The sequence below is a fragment of the Homo sapiens genome, chromosome 15 (assembly GCF_000001405.40).
Source record: "Homo sapiens chromosome 15, GRCh38.p14 Primary Assembly".
Lineage (NCBI taxonomy): Eukaryota > Metazoa > Chordata > Mammalia > Primates > Hominidae > Homo > Homo sapiens.
Genome location: NC_000015.10, coordinates 30,133,417 through 30,154,174, shown reverse-complemented (window position 1 = coordinate 30,154,174; position 20,758 = coordinate 30,133,417). Strand labels below are relative to the sequence as shown.

The 20,758-nt window shown below is 49.6% G+C and overlaps 1 protein-coding gene and 2 pseudogenes across 2 annotated transcripts; 1 reads left to right on the top strand and 2 right to left on the bottom strand.

Moving 5' to 3' along the window:
- Positions 767-3,478, top strand: DNM1P30 (dynamin 1 pseudogene 30; annotated as a pseudogene).
- Positions 3,479-5,426: 1,948 nt separating this feature from the next.
- On the bottom strand, positions 5,427-19,124 carry GOLGA8T (golgin A8 family member T). Of its 2 annotated transcripts, none has more exons than NM_001355469.2 (19): positions 18,979-19,124; positions 17,190-17,309; positions 16,235-16,294; positions 15,973-16,053; positions 15,079-15,117; positions 14,769-14,816; positions 14,596-14,680; positions 14,391-14,500; positions 13,247-13,333; positions 13,033-13,140; positions 12,750-12,837; positions 12,117-12,373; positions 11,793-11,861; positions 10,494-10,569; positions 9,971-10,062; positions 9,299-9,396; positions 9,119-9,216; positions 8,868-9,023; positions 5,427-8,783 (listed from the first exon to the last, which is right to left on the bottom strand). In NM_001355469.2, the coding sequence occupies exons 1-19, from the start codon at positions 19,024-19,026 to the stop codon at positions 8,608-8,610; spliced, it is 1,896 nt and encodes a 631-aa protein (NP_001342398.1). In that variant the 5' UTR covers positions 19,027-19,124; the 3' UTR covers positions 5,427-8,607. The 2 variants fall into 2 exon arrangements, with proteins under 2 accessions (NP_001342398.1, XP_024305800.1); XM_024450032.2 differs by lacking the exon at positions 18,979-19,124 and adding an exon at positions 18,223-18,388.
- On the bottom strand, positions 10,206-10,442 carry RN7SL469P (RNA, 7SL, cytoplasmic 469, pseudogene; annotated as a pseudogene).
- Positions 19,125-20,758: the final 1,634 nt, after the last annotated feature.

Below are 20,758 nucleotides of genomic sequence, written 5' to 3'. Positions count from 1 at the left end.
ACAACCTCTGGGATGCTCACCCTGCCCTCTTCCCCTCTCATCCCCATCTGTCCCCTCTGCCACCATGAGGAACATTTTCAAGAGGAACCAAGAGCCTATTGTGGCTCCTGCCACCACCACCGTCACGATGCCCATTGGACCCGTGGACAACTCCACCGAGAGTGGGAGTGCTGGGGAGAGCCAGGAGGACATGTTTGCCAAACTGAAGGAGAAGTTCTTCAATGAGATTAACAAGATTCCCTGTGAGTGTCCCTGGTGGCTGAGAGGGTGGGGCAAGGCTACAGTCTGGGAGAGGTGAAGAAGGGTGGGGATACCACTGGGATGCGATTGGCTGGGCTCTTTCCTAACGCTTAGATTTTTGGAGATCCCCTGCAGGAATCGGGGAGGGGAAAGTAAGGTCTGCCATTAATGTGGCAAACAAGGGGATTTATGTGCATCAACTTCTAAGGGAAAGAAAAATTCTCATAACTTAAAAAACTTTCTAAAGATGAAACCAAAAGGCGATGAAAAATTATGAAACAGAAGTCACTATTCAAGTTTGCCAATAATACTTTGAAATTTATTTTGGAAGATAGAAAATAAAAGCCCTCTCTGCTTTTGAATTTCTGGCAGAGGCTGTATAGGAGACACCAGAGATGCAGATTAAGGGGAACCAGCCACACTGGTGGGAGATGGTGCTTCAGAACCACAGAGAGCAGCCCAGGACCCAACTCCAGTTGGGTTTTGCAAAGCCCGGCAGCAGTCTAGGTCTAGACTCAATCTTAAGTCCACTCCATGGACCCACAGCTGAAGCGGCAAATGGAAACCACCCAGAACCTTGTGGACTCCTACAAGGCCATTGTCAACAAGACTGTGTGGGACCTCATAGTTGGTTTCATGCCCAAGACCGTCATGCACGTCATGATCAACAACGTGCATGCACCACCTCATAGGGGCAGGGGGCTCCTGTGGCACTGGGGATGCAGGTGGCCATGTTGGCCTGGGGGAGATGCCGACCAGCCCTATGGGACCAGGTTCAGGGAGGGAGGCACAGTCCAGACCAGAGCTGTCTCATAGAACTATAATGTGGGACTAGGGACAGTGGTCCATGCCTGTAATCCCAGCACTTTGGGAGGCCAAGGTAGGAGGATAGCTTGAGCCCAGGAGTTCGAGACCAGCTTGGGCAACATAGTGAGACCTGGTCTCTACACAAAAATTTTAAAAATAGCTAGGCTTAGTGATGGCACATGCCTATAGTCTTAGCTATTCGACAGGCTGACATTGGAGGATCACTTTGAGCCCAAGAGGTTCAGGCTACAGTGAGTGGTGATCTTGCTCACTGTACTCCAGCCCAGCAACAGAGCGAGATCCTATCTCCAAAAAACATTTTTAAGAAACTGAGTAGACAGGTGTCCTGGTGGCATGATAGGTCCTGGGTCCCCTCCCAGATGTGTGACCTTGGACAGGTGACTTTTCCTCTGGACCTCAGTGTCCCTATCTGAGTGAGAAAAGGGCGGTGGGGTGGCAGATCTTTGAGTCTAAGCGGTGTAGAAGCCGCGTGTGCAAAGCCATACTCAGGGCTCCAAGTCCAGCACACTGTCCCAGCACAGGCATCAGGCCAGCACATGCATCAGGTCCCAACCTCCTTCCCTCTTTGCCCCCTCTCAGACCAAGGAGCTCATATTATCAGAGTTGCTGTCCAACCTGTACTTGCATGGGAACCAGAACACGCTGATGGAGGAGTTGGCAGAGCAGGCACAGTGGCGAGATGAGATGCTGCGCATGTACCACGTGCTGAAGGAGGTGCTCAGCATCATCGGTGACATCAACACAACCACCATCAGCACGCACATGGGGGCCCGTGGACAGCTCCTGGCTGCAGGTGCAGAGCGTCCTTGCCAGACGCAGGTACCAGGGCTGGCCCCTATGGCCCCAAGTCTCCCCAGCCCCCATGGCTGAGCCTGGGGGCTCTTGGAACAGGCTCCGTGCCCAAGCTGGCAGATGTGGGTGGTCTCTGGAGCCATCAGGGAGCTCGTGGTTTATGGTGTAAGGGCTGAGAGCTTGGAGGGGGTTGTGTGTGGGGCTGTACTCTGAGGTGGCCAGAGGCCCAGGAATGTCATCCTGGGCACACCATGCCTTTTGTGCTGTCTGAGCCATGCTGCCAGGGTGGGGCATCCAGCTCCCAGCCTGGATGCCTTGGAGTGCTGAGGGCCAAATCCACTGCAGAGCAGGGGTGATAGGGTCCCACCTCCTCTATCTGTTGGCAAAACAGTGGTGATCTAGGATAAAACCTCGAGAGTCCCATACACATGGTCAACCCAAAACACACCTCACAGGTCAGGTAGGGGCACACAGCCCCCTTCCCTCCCTCCCAGGTACCATCACAGCTGCTAGCATGTGACTGAAGGCAGGGTCCCTGGGCCCCGCTGAAGCACTACCACCAGCCAGCGGGCTCACGCACCTTGGCTTGTTGCTCCTAGAGATTGGCCCTCCTATTCAGCCGAGGGGAGCCCAGTGCCTGCTGGCCCAGCTGAGCTCTGCCCAGCAAGCCCACCCACCTCCCTTGCCATGGTCTCCGTCTCCTTTCCCTGGGAGGAAGGACCCAGCCTCACCTATGGGACCTGCAATCTCCAACAAGCTGAGGCTCCCCTCTTAGACTTATAAGTTTATAGCCAGTGGCATCTGGCTGCCTGCCCACCCTGCCTCCCCCAGGGTCCCTTCAGAGGGTCCTGAGCTTCCTGACCACCCAGAGGGGGCTCCGGCGATCACTCCAACCATCCATCCCATTTAGCTTCATCATCCTTGTTCGAGCAATTTTCCTTCTGTCAGGCCTGGTGGCTGTTATGTTGGGTTCCCCAAGGTGAGAGGTGGCCCTAGACCAGTTGGTTGGAAGACAGGTTGGAAGACGACTTGGAAGACAAGTTGGTTGGTGACCAGAGAAGAGGGAAGCCCAAAGGGGCCGAGCGTTGGTCTGACCTGTGGGTACACTGCCTGGGTGCAATGGAAGAGGCCAGCATGTGTGGGGTGGGGAGGGCCGCCACAGTCCCCAGGCACTACCTGTGAAGCTCCGGCTCCTCCCTCCATCTTCCTCCCCTTTCCCTTCCAGCCCCTCTTTTCCAGGAACCTTGCCACAGCCGCACCTGCGCCCTCCCCTCCCTGGCCCTCCCACAGCTGCTGTGGCACACCTGTGCTCTGCACTGGCCTCACCAGCTCTCTCCTCCCTTTTCTCTCTCCTCTTTTCTCTCTGCTTTCTCTCCAACTGCCAGCCGATCAGGTCACGCAAGTCCATCCCATCCTGAGAGCCCCACGCCCCCCTTCGACCTCTAAACAGATCCCTTCTCTTCTCGGAGGCCTCCCTTTCCAAGCCTGCCTGGGCGGCTGTTCTGTGACTTGGCAGTGGCTCCCCCAGCCCCAAAGCCAGCCCCCTTCATCTGTGACTTAGTCTGTTGTAGTGGTGAGCTGACACGTCCAGGTGTGACTGTTGTGAAACTTGTGCCCCCCTCTGTGGTATGCCCTCGCATTGTTCTATAAATATCTATAAATACCCATACACACACACACACACACACACACACACACCCCTACACCTACATGTGGCCAACGGCCTCGCCTCTAGTGCTGGGAATCAGTCACCGTGCTGTCCTCTTGGAGTCTTGTGGCCCAACAAGAGAAAGCTGTCCCGACATTGCCCCTCCAAAGTGCAAGACCTCCGGTGAGTCTCCCTGTCACGCCTGGCCTATGGAGAGTCAGCCCCCGCCATCCCTCCCGCCCCCCCACCAAGCATGGGAGTGCTGTGCAGGCAGCTGTGTGGCCTGACAGTCTCTACCAGTCCTGCTGTCCCTTGGCTGAGAATCAAACCCATTTCTGGATGACGGGGAAGTGTGTCCTCTGCTGGCTGTGTTCTCTGTGGAGCTCAGGGGAGGGGAAAGGCCAAGCCATTTCTAGGGTGCTGTTTGGAGGGGTGAAAAGGCCATACCCTTTCCAAGGGACACTTTTCCTGGAAAGCCCCTGGAACTTAGCTGGCTCTTGTCCTGTGAAGCCGGCTCTGGCCACCAGGGGGCAGGGCCACGAACTCAGCCTGAAGGGAGCCTGCCGGGCAGCCGGCACTCTGGAGGGACAGAGAGAACAGGCCACCAGGTGCAGACAGGGGAGGGAGGCAAGGTGACGGAAGGGAAGACGCCTGGGGTGGGTGGAAGTCAGTGCCCTTAGGTGCTGGTACCTGTCTTCCTGGCCACCGCTACAACAGGCTTCTGAGCCTGTTGGCTGTCAGGGCTGGACTGCGCCCCATAGGCACCATGGCAGTCCCCGTGGAATCCCCCAGGCGCCACTAGGCAGCATACAGGTAACACGCCTGGAAGGTCCCTAACAGCCTAGCTGGACATACTCAAGACACTCTGGGGCTCCTCGTTTGGTGGCACAAACTCCAGGACCCAGTGAGGGAAACGGGAACACACCAGGCCGAGCAGTATGGCTAAATCCATTTATTCCAAAATAAAAAGCAAAATAAACAGGAGTCGCATCACCAGGGAGCCACGACCCCATCCCCGCCTCCTTCCTCTGTCCTATGCTAGCAATAAATAAGTTTCCCAGCCACAAATAATTATTACAACCTCCTCCCCATGTGCCGGCTCCAACCTCAGCTAGGTATGACACAGGGGTGGCCCTACCCTCTGGAATATACAAAACCTTACACAGACACAATGTGTACACCGGGGAACGGGGGCCACCCCAGCAGCCCGTGCCCTCGCCTGGTCCACAGTTAGCCCCACTGTCCTACCTCTCTGAATAAGAAGGGAGCCCCCCTGAGGGAAAAGTTGCTATGGTGAGAGTAAGGGGGACATCAGGCCTCCTCCAAACAAACCAACTCCACCAGCCTCTGGCTCTTAAATAACAATCATCATCATCCAGAAATTTAGGGACTCAGCCCTGGTCAAGGTGGCAAAGGGTCTGTTTGTCTTTCCCCATTAGACAGAGGTCTTGTCCTGCTACCCTAATTGTAAAGGGGTGCCTGGGAAGGGGTGGTAGGGACATGGTGGCGGTGGAGACTCCGGCCCCACTTCTCCAGGCTTTGCTGACAGGGGCCTGCTTTTAATTTTTATTTTTATTCCATGACTTTTTAAAAAAGAATCCCGTAACTTCTTTTTCATAACTTTTTTGGTAACTTTTCATAATACTGTTTTCTACTTTGTTCCCACAAGTTTTTTTGCCACAACGTTTTTACATTTTTTATCCCATAACTTTTTCACCCCATAACTTTTTTTAATCCCATAATTTTTAAATCTTGTGTTCTTTTAAGAAACACTTGCATAGTTATATCACAACTTTGTAAAAATGAAACACATTATCTCGTGCCAAGCATGCCCAGCATTTGCACAGTATCAATACCTTTAATACTATAGTTTTCAAGAAACACAAAATAAAATTTTAAGGCAAAAACAACACATTGAAACAATTTAATAATTTATTACATTACAGTGGCATCACACCAGCAGTCAATAAGGCCACTCTAGGGAAAAATCTTTCAGTATTTCCATGACACATTCTGTTTACAATAATTCATAAACTGGTAAAATTCATTCTAAGAAAACTTGGCAAATAAAACTTTGGACTGGAATTGGCATTTCTTTCTCTGCTTTTCGTTCCCACCATTTCTTTCTTTTATACTACAGTATTCATATTTTAAAATGTTTTAAATTATTTCAGAACATTAAGATAGCAGTTACATTTTTTAATAGTTATATTATTTTAAAATGACTAAGATAAAGTTTTAGAGAAACTATATTATGGATAGGGCTGATTTACATTTTCAAATTTTCTAAAATCGCTTTGGTTTTAGAGCTGATTTTTTTTTTCATTTCTGGAAAATTATCAGGTTGAATCAAATACTTTTAAAATGATTATTATATATTGCCATCTTTAAATAGGTGTTTTGATTCTTCCTACAGACATTAAAATGTATTCAGTGGAACTCACAGTTTAAAATTCTATGTTTCTGATGAACTCTAACATTCCAATGTTGCCTTCTAAGCAAACTGAAAGCTGCCTTATACTGAATGAGGAAGAGCACAAATACTCGGCTGAATGAGGTATCGCAAAAGACTGCATGCACTTTGGAGAAAGACTTAAGTTATTGTCATACAATTTCCATTCTTTTTAGCGTTTTCTTAAGTATATGACAAATGCCTACACAAAGAGTGGTATTTCAGTCAATATAGTAAATTTATTTTCCAGACTGACCTTCAGCTTAAATATGCCAGTGTGTGATTTAATCCATAGGCACCTCATGAACACATTATTGTCAGATTGGTTACAGATGCTAAACGCTATCCGAAGGTCATTCCTAGTCACTGATATTTATCAGGGTAAAAGTGAAGTGATTTCAACGATAAAAGTACCTTTGCAATAATTTATCAATGTATTAGATAAACCCAGTTTCAGAATGATAAAAGAAAAAACGTTAGACCAAATAATGTGGCTGATTAACAGTGGTCCGATTTCTAGCCCGAGGGTTTAAAATGCTCTTAAAGTAACTGTCTTTAAACTGAACTCAAAGAATGCAAAAGCGGCAAGTTCAGAAAATAAAAGGCGAGAACAGGACTTTAAGTGCATTTTAAACCCACGGGCTACAAATCGTACCACTGTTAATTAGCCGCATTATTTGGTCTAAGATTTTTTCTTTATCATTCTGAAACTGGGTTTATCTAATACATTGATACATTCATAAAATTTGGAAGAGTCAGTGGAAGTCACAAGGACCGAATATTTGCACTCTTTCAGTGAATGCCAGCAAATCTGTTATTCCATCGGTAAAATCGTATTGTTGCTCTCCTGTTAATGTCATATTTATAGAAGTATCATGAGGATGCCAAATGCTAAAAATGGAGATGATCTAGTAACTAGAAATCCCCACCGCAGGGAGCACACACACCTATCTCCCTGCATCCTAACAATGTGATGTGTTTTGGAACACAGACATTAGAACTTCATGAAGTTTTAACTGTTGAGTCTTTCCCAAGCATCATCAAGTTACGATTTAGGCAATATATAACTGAAATGTATTCATTCATCATGCATAGGCACAATCACATAAATATCGCACAAAATATGTCCCGAACAGAAACCCAGAGGTACAAAAACATATTTCACTTTGTAAAGAAGTCTGTGAGAAAATATAACTCTGTGATTGTATAGACACGTTTCCTGATAATACATTGACATTCACGAACAGTAGATTGCACTGCAGTTTGTACACATTTTAAGTTTCATAAACTTCTCCTTGATTTTCAAAGAGAGTACAATACCATCTACTAAAACTCCTTTTTGTTTCAACTAAGTATCTCACATATATTAGTTTATAATAATGTTTCTATTATTTTTTAAAGTGTTTTCCATTCAAGGAAAAAGAAGTAAATTCCTATGTCAGAGTAACCAAGGTGGTTGAAGAATAGGTATTAGCCAAAGAGGTCTAGATGGTAAAATCAATCTTCAAGCCTCAAAGAATCTCCGTGAACAGAGAGGAATGCCAGGTGTCACACAGCTTTCCTTCACTCTAATTCATTCTTGACTAGAGCCTGTATGCCTGTTCCAGGGACGTTTGAACTCATAAAGGATTTCTTATGATCTTCACTAAATACATTAAGAAGAATGCCAACCAGTGCCCTTTTGTGTACTGGGACATGTAGTCATGTGATTAAAACAGGTAACATGAACTCTGACTTTAAAATGTATTGTAGATACAAATGCTCTAAGCTAGGAAAGGTTTTCCACATCCACAGTCAACGATGGGAACCTTTCATTCCTCAGAAATAAGCCCTTTTTAGGTCATCGAAAAAGAGTACAACTGCTGCAGCTCATGATGCAATATCTTCATGAGCCCAGAGCACATACAAATCCTAAGGGAACCACCATAATACACCGCTAATTCCTGGCACCGGAACAGATGAAACACACTCTATCCTGCACATACCTGCCAGAGGAGGCCACTTTCCTCTTCTGTGAGATTTAAAAAGCTCCCCCAAAAGGTTATCACTCCCATCACCAATACACAGAAAATGGAGGAAAGGCTGTTTCCAGTTCTTGGCCTTTAAACAACTCTAAATGTCAGTACTCATAGTGGCGTATTACAAAGTAATAAACAGTGCACACTTGGGGGCAAACTACATATTGAGCTAAGGAAGAGCTCACTGTGATTAAGATTAGATCAAACAACAGCAGAACATAGGCAAATTTTGTCTGAATGCTGTAGTGAATATACATGCTGCAATAACATTAAAAAAGCATGGCAGCCTATTCCAAACCAAAGAGAACAGTTTTGGGCAAAGAGTGGGTCTTTGTGTGTTTGAACTCCCACCACGTAAGGGCAAACTCGATATGCACGCTAATGACCTACAATTATGAAATTAAAAAAGAAAAATGCTAAAGGATGCCAGAGTGAACATCAGTGAGAGCCACAGACACCCACTCTCTTTTAACTTTTTACAAATAAACTTAAACTATAAATTAGAAACACAAATAATCATGAGTGAGTCTAACATTCAAAGGAAGTAAATGAATTGTGTAGGAGATTAACCCCATAACTTGGTTTCTTATTTAAAAATTTCTTGAGCAGCTCTTTGAGGATGGTGATGTTTATCTCCTTCTTCTTGGCAGCCAAGCCCAGCACAAGAATGGCACACAGCAGTTGCTGCCCAAGCCTGGGTGCTCCTGGTGGTCCTGCACGATCGGCTGTGCAGTAGGCTTGTCAAGGAGAGGATCCTCCCTGGCCTCTCCTTGGGCAGAGGAGGTGAGGCTCACCTCACGAAGATCTTTGGAGAGAGGGAGGCAGGGATCTGAGCACAGTGGGAGCCCCCTCTTCCTGCCTGCCCACCCCACCTGAGGGCTCTACTCACCACCATGCTTGTCTGCAGCCCCAAGCTCCTGGGGAGCTGGGGCTCCTGGACCGGGCTCATCAGCAGGGTTGTGGGCAGCGGCCAGGAATTTTCTGTGCCCATTGTTGTAGTTGCTGTAAGCCGCAATACCATCTGCTGCAGCTCCAGCAGCTTCACCTGGAGGGAGGGGTGCTCAGCTGCCATGCCGCTGCTTGCGCCCACCCTCACACCCACCCCCACCCCCACCCCCACAGAGATGTTGCACACCCTACCTTCATCTCCTCCCTGAGCTCCAGCCTGATGGTGTCCTCCTCCCAGTGCCGCATCTTTGGCACAGCCCCCTGGTTCTGATAAAAGGTGATGGGTTTTCCTGCGGGAGGACAGGGCTCAGACGCTGGGGCCCCTCCGACGGCCCTGTAGCTCCCCCTGCCGTGCCCTGGCCTCCCACTCACTGATGGCGTCTGTCTCGCCAGTGGTGGATGAAGCAGAGTTCTTTTTTCACCAGCTCACTCAGGTCTGCCTTCTCCTTCAGGTGGTCCATAAAGCTGCTCTGGAGCCAAAATATTGCAGTCACATCTCGGCAGCGACCTGCCCTCAGGTGGCATTTTCAAGTCATGGAGAAGGTGGAGGTGAGTCCTGGCATGGGCCAGCTTCTCCGTGACTTCCTGCAGGGCCCAGTGGGTCTCCCTACTCACAGACTCGCCCCCAGGCCCTGGGGCTCCAGGGCCTCTGGCTGCCTCTGGCTCCTTCTGGGCCGAGGCCACCGGGTGAGCCAGGCGCTGGCAGCACACCCTCTGCTCTTTCACCTGCTCTTGTAACTGTGCCTGCTTCTCCTGGGCACTAGCTCCAGCGGACTTGAAAAATGCCACCTGAGGGCAAGATGTGAGCATTCTTCTAGGGGCATACACAGAAGAAATGGGGCAGAGAGGTGGAGCGCAGCCCCTTCCCTTGGGGCCTCAGAGAGTGCACCTGTTGGCCACAGGTGAAATGGTGTCTGACCACTGGCTCTCGGAAGGGGTGAGGGTCCAGAGAAATCAGAAGGCAGGGAAACGAAGAGCATAAAGGGGTCTTGGAGGGACCACAGAGAAAGGTGGCAAAATGGGTGCAGGGGGAGTCAGGCTCACCATGGCCTCCCTGCTCTCCAGGTCCTCTGGGACACTCGGCATGGGCTGAGGTGCCTCCTCCCCCTCACTGTCCAGATGTTCTCCTCCGTGTCCTGTGGGGGGTGGCCAGAGGGGTCTTCAGACAACCCAACAAGGGAGGTACTGTGGGCCCACCTCTACCTCCACCCTCACTGTGTAACCCTGAGCCAGCCCCTCCCCAGAGAGGAATGAGCTGTTGTTCTTTATTTTTACTTTTAAGAATCAAGATCTTGCTATTCCGCCCAGGCACACTCCCACTACTGGTCGATGTGGGAGTTCTGACCTGCTCCCTTTCTGACCTTGGCCAGTTCAGCCATCCTTAGGCAACTTGGTGACCCCCCGCTCACAGGAGGTCACCACACTGATGCCGAACTTAGTGCAGGCACCCGGTCGGCATAATGACCAGCTGTTCTAAAGGTCTCTTCCAACTCCTCAATCCTATGCTGCTAGCAGTCCCCCCTTCCTCCTGGGGCTCTCTCCTCTTCCTCTGAGCAGTCTCCCGTACCTTCCCCAGGGAGAGCCATGAGGCTCAGCTGGGCCGTTAGCTGCTGGTTCTGCTGGCTGGCAGCTTCCAGGTGCTCCTGAGGGGCCAGGACAGAGTGAGAAGGGGTGGAGTTTGCCAGGTCATCCCCCTCACAGCCCCATCCTCGGCAGCTCCCTCCCCTGGGTCTCCTGCAACTTTTGGCAGGCCATCTCAGCCACCGCTTTGCCCCAAGCTTCCTGCTGCTGCAGCTGGTTCATTAGCTGGGTCTGTTGCAGTCACTGCCTGTACAGCGCCTCCTTCTAACAGGTCAGCTGCTGATAGGTGGCCACGTACTGCTGCAGGTGACCCAGGTAATGGTCTGGCTGCTGCTGCAGACTCTGAGCCTCTTGGCTCTTCAGCTCCACCTGCAGGAAGACCCTGGGTGTGAGGGCACGTGGTGGCTGGTTTCCAGATTCTGGGCCCATTAATAGGGTAGCGAGGGCACTGTGGGGCTCTGTCAGCTGCCCAGGCCCCTGTCCCCTTACTCCAGGCCTAAGTGACTGCCTCCCTTTCCTAGAACCCCATGCCTCCTTCCCCAGCCTCAAATCTCATACCCTCTTCTCATTTAATCCTCAGCACCTCTGTAAGGAAAATGCTAACTTCCCTTTGAAGTTAAAGAAACAGAGACTTAGAGATGCAAAGTACTTGAATGGTGACCAGTGCAACCGAGGCTGGAATCCAGTTTTAATCTAAGGAGTCTTTTTGTTTTGTTTTCAGACAAGAGTGTCACTCTGTGGCCCAGGCTGGAGTGCAGTGGTGCAATCTCAGCTCACTGCAACCTCCACCTCCTGGGTTGAAGCAATTCTCGTGCCTCAGCCTCCCGAGTAGGTGGAATTACAGGCATGCGCCACAATGTCCTGCTAATTTTTTTTTTTTTTTTTGTAATTTTAGTAGAGATGAGGTTTTACCACATTGGCCAGGCTGATCCCAAACTCCCGACCTCAAGTGATTCTCCTGCCTCAGCCTCCCAAAGTGCTGGGATTATAGGCATGAGCCACTGCACCTGGCATAAGGAGCCTGTTATACCACTGTCTCTTCCCCTGTGATTGGGGGCTCCATGCCTCTAGCTAGGATGATGATGTCCAGACCTGAGAGGATCCCAGGGCTACCCACCTTTAAAAGTCAGAGGCAGGAAGCAAGAAACAGGACTGCCCTGGGGGGTGCTGTGGTCACCAGCCCCCAGGCTGGAAGCTGCCTCTGGCCTCGTACCTCCCCTCCCCAGAGTCTGCTGCCCGCCTCCCAGCCCTTCTTGGATGGGGTGGAGGTTTCCGTCTCCTTCACCTCGCCAAGCTTCTCCTGTAGCTCCTTTACTTGCTGCTCCAACTGCAGTGCGTTCTTGTTCTCATTGTTCTGGACAGAGAGAAGCAATCAGCAGCCACCCACTGCAGCTGGAGACCCCAGAACTTGGTGTCTGCCTCCCATGGCACTGGGAAGGCTGGAGGCAGGTTAGAAAAATCACTCCCTCTCTCCCACAGCCACCTGGCTCACAGGTGCCTTTAGAAGTAACATTTCATGTGAGGGCTACACTGCCCCATTTTAGAGGTGGGGAAACAAAGGCCCGGAGGGCTAGGGAGGAGGGCAAGCTCCCCAGTTTGGGCAACGCACCGGCTCCTCGAAGACGCTCTGTGGCTTGGCCAGCTGCTGAAGGCTCTTGTGCTGCTCCTGAATCCTCTCCTCCTGCTTCCGAAGCCTCTCTTCCTGCTCCTGAATCCTCTCTTCTTGTCGCTGGTTCAGGAGACTTATGCGCTGATTCTTTTTGACCTGGGCCTGGAGCTCTCCTGCCACTCTCTCTAGTTCCTTCCTCAGGTGCTGCAGCTCCACCTCAGAGGGCACTGCTGGGGGCTCCGGGGGCAAGGGTTCAGCTGACAAAGGAAGCAGATAATAAGGGCCTCTGGATTCTCGGAAAAGAAAAACCCTCCTCTTGGCGCACAGCTCCTCTCAGGCTCCTCAAACTTGGCCTCACTGCTAATGATTCCTCGCACCCAGATGGTAGCCAGTCTTCCAAAGCACTTTCAGAGAAAGAGCACTGCGGGTGGCTGACAACGGGCCCTCTTTCCTGATGGGGACACTGAGACACTGAGACTCATTGAGATGACAAGACTCGCCGTCTCCTGGCACAGATCTCTTTCCCTCTGCCTCAAAGCCCTTCCATCCACCCACCTCCCTGGGGCACTCTAAGCCACCCTCACAGCCCTCTGATGCCAGTCCTGCTCCTAGGTCATGCCAGCCCCATCTTACCCATCTGGTTTTTGAGTTTGGACAAGCTCCTCTCCAGCTCCTCTACCCGACGCATATCTTGCTGCTTCTCTTTCTTTAATGTGCAAATCTGCCCAAAGCACAAGGGGAAAGGGCCTTGGAGAGAGGGGCTGGTGGCTGGACAGGCTGCCCTCTCCCTCTCTGCCCCCACCTCCACAAAGCCCAGACCCATGACCACCTCTGGCTCTACTATTCCCATTTTACAGATGACCAGAAAGATCCAGTGACCTATCTAATGTGGGGGGGCTGAAGGGTCAGATCTCACCTCCTGCGACATTTTTCTCATCCTCTGCTGCCACCGGGCCCTCTCTCCTTTTAGATGTTCAGAATACTCATCTCTTTCTAATTGGACTTGTTGAAATGACTCCTTCAACTGCAAGAATGGGCACAGAACTTAGGAAGGGCTGTCACTGGTCCTCACCTGCTCCTGGCCACCTGGGGTCATCTTCCTTCCACATAACTCCCTCAGAAAACCTCACCTGTGTCAGCTGCACTTTCAGTAGTGTCTCCTCCCGCATGGACTGCTCTAACTTCCACTCCGTACGTGCTTTGCTGCGGCTGGACAACTGGATGGTGAAGAGTGAGAAGTTTCAATCTGGAGAGCCTGGGCATTTCCACACAGTGCCCCTTAAAAGGGCTAGGGCTAGGCCCAATATACAACTCGGTCAGTAAAGATCAAGGCATTTCCAAGCCCGTGGTCTGGTTTTTAAAAGAACTCAGTAAAGTTGGAACGGACAGGGAATGAGATTGAATTTATAGCTGGCTAACAGAGGCCCAGAGAGATCAGATAATATTGCTATTGTTATTACTGTTATTATTACCACTGTTTGAACCTTTGTGGAATGCTTCACCAGGTACCGTGCTAACAATCCCATTTAATCCTCGCAACCACCATAGGAGACAGTTACTATGATTCCCTCTATTGTGGAGATGAAAAAACATGGAGTATTTGAGGTTAAGTGCTTGCCTAAGTTCACTTAGGCAGAGCTGGGATATAAACACCCAGGTCTATCCAATTCTCTAAGCCCGTTTTTCTTGCTGGGGATGGGGGCACAGATAGGAAGGGGAAAATTAATCTTTTGTTCACTTTTTGAAAGGATGATACATTTGCATAGTCCAAAACTCAGAAGGTACAGAAGGGAAGTATCTCCCGGCCATCTTGTTGCTCTCTCCTGACTTTTTTATGAACCCTTGCAGACATGTTTTATGTATATTATCACAGTATGCACACACACACACACACACACACACACACGCACACACGTTTCCTCTTTCTACAGAAATGGTAACATACTAAAGGTACTCTTCTGTACCTTCACAGTACAAGTACCCAATACCCCACCTAGGACTAGGACTTGCCCAAGACCACAGCCAGGTAAGGGCGGGGCAGGCACTTGGCCTCCAAGCTCTGCGTCCAGTGCTCACTCCACACAGTGACCCCCAACTCACCCACAGCAGCTGACTCAGCCCCAGGCTGCCACTAAAAACCATACAAAAAAGTAGCAAGAAATGGCCATGCTGCCTTCTGGGCAGGACACTCCATCCTGCAGAAGGGACCTTTAGGCTCACTCCTCCATCTGCAAAGCCAGGCTCCCAGGGGATGGGGCAGGTGGTTGGACTCACCTGGTTTGCCTTCTTCTTCTGTGTGGCCATGACATTAGAGAGAACACTCTCTAACTCTCCTTTACGCTGCAATGAATGTTGCAGGCGGACAGCCAGATCCTTGGACTTTTCTGTAATGAGAGAGTTGAGATGGGGCCCAAAGGACTCCCCCTGAAGACCTGTCAAAGTGCCAGGTTGAAGGATGACAGGGTGCCCAGATTCCCACCTTCAAAGTATCTGAGAGAACGTTTCATGTGGTACAGGTCCGTATTTAGTTCCTCTTTCTGTATGTTCAATGTCTGGATTTGAACCTTTGGGAGAAAAGCCAAGCAAGTGCTGAAAGAGAAGGAAAGAAACCTTCTCCGGAGGACAGGAGGAAACTGCACACCCTCCACTCACCTCTAGCACCCTTTTGGCTTTCTGTTTCTTGTTGTTTGCTTTCTTTTCCTGTAGGAAGAGGAAGACAGAGCTCTTACCAGGGGGAGGCAGAGATGGCACAGCAAGAGACATGCCCCCAGAATGCCACCAATGCCCCAGGACAGGCCCACCCATGGGACCAGGTTATCAGGGGCCCTGTGGGGATGGGGTGGAATCTGAAGGGTGAGCCTTCATCCCCAGGCTGGGAGTGGGTGAGACGAGACTGGGGCCTGTATGTCTGAGTGCCCCCCAAACCCAGCAGTCATGTTGCGAGGAAACGAAATCACGTTACTTCTTCCAGCTGATGTTCCACTTGTTTCTTCTGTTGTTTCTGTGGGGAGAGTCAAATAAGGTGGATGGGAGGGTGGCCCCCTCAACTCTATTCCCCAGACCAGGAAGCGGTAGGCAGGGGCCAGGAATGGATTTTAAAGGCAAAGTTCTCAGACATAATGGGAACACGAACCGGTAAACTCTCCTCAAGCTCCCAAGGACAGAGGATTTGGGTCTTTGTTGGCTTTTGCCCACAGCCACAGAACTCAAAGTCTGAATCTGGAATCTCTTGAGAGGACAGCAATATAAACCTCTAGAGATGGAGTTTCAGAAAGGCCCCTCCTTCTGGCAGCTTGTGATTTAGAGAAGTGGGTTCATTCAATAAACATTTACTGAGCATGTATGGGCCAGGTACGGTTCTTTACAGCAGATATAGGATGGAAAAGGACAGACAGGAGCCCTTAGCCCTGAGGTTTCCGTTCTAGGGGGCCTTTAAATCTCAGACTCGAGAGCTAACAGAGACCTTTGATACTCACTACCTCCTCTGGAAACACGAGCCCAAAAAGGAGAGGTGGCTTGTCCAGAATCAAAGAGCAAATTAGGGACTGAGTCATGGCAGAAATACGGGGCCCTTGACAACCAGTCAGGCTAGCACTTCCCCAAGAGGCAACAACCCCAGGGCGTGTGTAGCAAGGACTCGAGCAGGGGTGTCTGGAGAGGAGAGAGTCGGCAAAGAGGGCAGCAAAAGAAGAGCCATGCTGCATGCTCTGGGGTCCCTCCAGGTGAGGCCTGGGCACCCAAGCTCCCTATTTGTCCCAGGCACCAGGGACCCCCAGCCCCTTTCTTCAGGGCCCCAAGGGGAAACTGGAGCCCAGGATTGGCAGCGTGGAATCAGGGGACCCCAGTGGACTCTTACCAGAGATTTGATGGTGTTCTTCAGTTGACTGATTTCTACGGACCTTGAATCCAGGACTACTGCTCGTTCTTGGCACGGGCTCTGAGGTGCATGCAGAGAGGAGGAGGTGGAGCAGGAGTGGGGGGAGAGGTAGAGAGAACAATCATTAGGGCTGGGGTGTGTGGGCTGTCTCAGCTGGCAGAGGGGCACCCAGTCCCACCTGGAGGAGGAGGTTGGAGGGTTGACCCGAAGGGTCACTGCACCTCCGCCCAGAGCCTCTTACCTCCAGATCTTTCAGGGTAGCAGATGATGTAGGGCCTTCCCTGTGGAAACCTGTTGCTGACTACAAGAGATGAGAGTGCACATGGAGATGTTCTGTCCCCCACAGTGTCTGAGCCCTCTGACTTCCTTTCTTCCCCATCAACTGGCAACATTTTCTTTTCTGCCTATCTTGGACCTTTTGTCCCATAACTCCTTTGTGCCAACTTCTCTCATGGTTCTTATCTCCCCACCATCCCATCCTGGGGCCCCTTCAGTGACTCCTGATGGCAAGTGGCTGTTCTCATTGTCCTGGTTTCCCCCTGAGACTGGGGATGAGGAAAATCAAACCATATCCTGGGTGTTCTGAGTGTTTACAGCAGGCCATGTACTAGGGATTAACATAAAAACAACAATAACAAATCTCATTTAAACTTCACAAATGGAAGTGAAACAATAACACCTCTATTATACAGATGTGAAAAGAGAGGCCCGATGAGGTCTAGCAACTTGCCCTAAATCATATCCCTAGCAGAGCAGATGGAGAGGCAGGATTCAAACCCAGAATTCCTTTTTTTTTTTTTTTCTTTGAGACAGAGTCTTGCTCTGTCACCAGGCTGGAGTGCAGTGGCATAATCTTGGCTACTGCAAGCTCCACCTCCCAGGTTCACACCATTCTCTTGCCTCAGCCTTCTGAGTAGCTGGGACTACAGGCACACGCCACCACGCTTGGCTAATGTTTTTGTATTTTTAGTAGAGACAGGGTTTCACCGTGTTAACCAGGATGGTCTCGATCTCCTGACCTCATGATCCGCCTGCCTTGGCCTCCCAAAGTGCTAGGATTACAGGCGTGGGCCACCACACCCGGCTAAAGCCAGAATTCTTAACCAGTACCCAGCAGTCCATCCACAATCTTAAGAATTACCCTCTATTGCCCCTTGGGCCCCCTGTCCCCAGAAGCCTGGTCAGCCAAGACTCACATCCCTAGGTGGCTGGCAACCACCAGAAGTGGCTTTCTCAGGGATACTGCCATTTGTTTTCCTGTTCCTGTTCGCTCCTGCTGGAACTCTAGGGCTGTTTTTCTGCCAATATTCTTTTAACTGTTGGAAAGAAGAGCAGTAATACTCATGAGAACCGTCAGCCCCTACAGCCACATCCTCCTTTACAGTTTTTACAAAATACACTTACACACCATCTGATTTAATGACACCAACAACTGTACAAGGTGTTGTCACACTCATTTAGTGACTGAGAAGGATTGATATCATGGCTAGAAAAAAAAAAGAAAAAGGCAATACTGGAACTTTGAAACTCAGTCTTCTGACTCCAAGCTCTGAGGTTTTGCCAAGAATCAGCAGCTGCCAGGGACCAAAACCAGAGGCAGAGGTAGAAAAGTAAACATTAAGTAGGCAGGAACTGTATGCCATGTGGTTTAGAGTCACACATCCTCACACGTCTGTTAGTGTGAAGAAGTGCACCAGTACCTCTCAAACTCTTATATCAATGTGTCCTCATGGCAGAAGGCAGCCTTTCTCTTAAATCAGAATTTATCAGAAAGAGGACAACCCAAGCCTCATTTCAGAGAGAGGTCTGGTATACTCTTAGAAACCTATGTGACTGTCATCCCTAAGTACATTCATGTTTTTTCTCTTGATCTCAAGAGAATCAAGGGAAACTGATGCTTCAGAAAGATGTCCCATATTTATCCTGTGGCACTCAAAGTACCCAAGGTTGAGATAATATGAGGAAGATTCAAGGTGTCAAGTTCAGTTTCCCAAGATCTATTCCACAGAAGATGAGCAAATGTCACTTCAGAGACCACTGACTGAAGGAGAGTCTGGTCCCAGAACCATGGAGAATTAGAATATGAGGTGGAGAACTCAGAAAAAAATGTTAAAATCTCTCTGGAAAGTAGAAGCCTGGGAGAAAACCAAACCAAACCCATTCTCTCATTGCCACCCAGAGATACTGTCAACGTTTTGAGTTCATGGGGGAAGTGTAGGCTTTTCCCACCGTCAACATCTGTAAGGGAGTGAGGCAGCCTGGAACCTCTTGCTCCTAGGTCCCATAGTCTCCATTCCCCTTCCAGCTGGAAATTTGTGCTGTGACCAGAGGAACCAGAAACGGGGTGAGAACGCTTAGGGGACTGGGTCGTAAGATCAAAGGCCAGTCTTGCAGTAACAGCAGTTACTAGGTGGACTGTGACATCACAACATTCCACTCCTCCTGGTCGGGGGGAGGGACCATGTCAGCACCATGTCCAAGTCGCTGCTCCACGATGGGGGAGGGAAGCACAGGGTTGGGACCCAGCTCCTTGGAGACGCCAGCACAAAGAACCCAGGGAGGTCGACCTTGAGGCAGCAGGAGGGGAGGGCACAGTCTGCAGCAGGGAGTCCCAGGAGTCACCAGTCCAAAGTCACCCAGGGATGACTGGCGAGGGTGGGGCCTGGCTCCTTGGAGATGAGAGCCCAAAGAGCCCAGGGAGATCAAGCTTGGGGCGGCAGGAGATGAGGGCCCAGTAATGGAGCGGGAAGCCCCAGGACTCACCCACCCAAAGTCACCCTGGGGTGATTGGCGAGGGCAAGGACTGGGCTGCTTGCTGAAGGGGTGGGGCTGACTGACAAAACTTTGGTGGGGGTAGCCCAGAGGCACCGGGGTAGGGGGGACCAGTCCAGTGTGCCTCAGGAGTCGTATAGACTCTGGCAGGGGTCTTGTCATCAGAGGGGATCTGTGGCTGGGTTGAGGGGCTATGACCTAGTGCGTTTTTACCTTTTTCTTGGCTGCAGCCAATTTGTTGTGTTGAGTTTCTTCTGCCATCGCAGGGTGGGGAGGGAGGCAGGGTTGGGGTCACAGCAGCAAAATCTCAATGAGAACCGATCAAGGCCTCCAGTCACCTACCAGGCAGCTGTGTGACTGAGCCAGAGGAGGCGTAACCAGGGCCCCAGTAGAATGCGGAATAGGGGCGTGGCCTTAATGCTCCAAGCCCATTGGTCAATGAGAAAGATGAAAAGGAAAGGGGGCGTGGCCAGAAAGCAGTGTGTCCAGAGGGACCTGTGGCTCACAAGGAAAGCTGCCCATGGCAACTGCTCTCCCCACCCACTCTAAGAGAGGGGAGAGGCCTCCCACTCTGGAAGAGAAGAGGGGCCGGCTTTTGCTTTAAAAGCTTTAAAACTTTAAAAAATATATGTGTGTATACTTTATATATATGTGTGTCCGTGTGTGTGTATCTATGTTTTTCTCCATAGCTGTCTTCATTATCCAGCTTCTATGCAAGGTCTATGATTTTGGCCTATATTCTTCATCTTTGATTACAGTACAAAAATTACCAGTATTACCTTAACTGAGATACAGATCCTATAAAAATGGAAAATGCATAGCATGCTTGATGATTAATGAAGCAGACTATATTATCCAACATTCTAATAAGATAAAATAATCACAATGATTTCTCTTTTTTGGAAAAATGTTTCTTTTATTCTCCTACGTTTTCATTAAGATTTTTTTTTCTTAAACAAGAAACATGTCTAATATCTGTAAAAACACAAAGCTTTTGGGCCGGGTGCAGTGGCTCATGCCTGTAATTCCAGGACTTTGAGAGCCCAAGGTGGGTGGATCATGAGGTCAGGAGATCGAGACCATCCTGGCTAACACGGTGAAATCCCATCTCTACTAAAAATACAAAAAAGGCCGGATGTGGTGGCAGGCAACTGTAGTCTCAGCTACTTGGGAGGCTGAGGCAGGAGAATGACATGAACCCCCGAGGTGGAGCTTGCAGTGAGCCAAGATCATGCCGCTGCACTCCAGCCTGGCTACAGAGCAAGACTCCATCTCAATAAATAAATAAATTAATTAATTAATTAATAAAAATAAAAAATTAATAGTAAGAGCAATGTGAACAAAAGTTGTAATAAAATAATTTAGAAAATACAAACTATTAAAAAATAGATTTTAAAACTTGTGCAACAAAGTCAAACAGCACCCAACGAAAATGTATACCCTTACATGTTTGTTTAAAAAGCAATTTAAATTACATTGATCCACTAAACTGGGAAAAGCAAAACAAACAAAAAGGGGGAAATAATTAAGACATAAGGAAAAAGGAAAAAGAAAAACCACTAGATTTAAAAAATAAAACTGAAGGAGGATTCTTTCAAAAGACTGAGATAATAAAACAGTCAAGCCTCTGATAAGTAATCAAGATAAAGAAAACTTTGAAGAGAAAAGGGCATATAGCCACATGTGAATATGATGCAAAAAGTGAAAACTTTACACATCTTTACAACACCTTAGAAGTATGGATGACATGTTCATTTTTTTTTTTTTTTTTTGAGACGGAGTCTTGCTCTGTCACCCACGCTGGAGTGCAGTGGCGTGATCTTGGCTCACTGCAAGCTCCGCCTCCCGGGTTCACAACATTCTCCTGCCTCAACCTCCCGAGTAGCTGGGACTACAGGCGCCCGCCACCACGCCTGGCTGATTTTTTGTATTTTGGCTTAGTAGAGACGGGGTTTCACCATGTTAGCCAGGATGGTCTCGATCTCCTGACCTC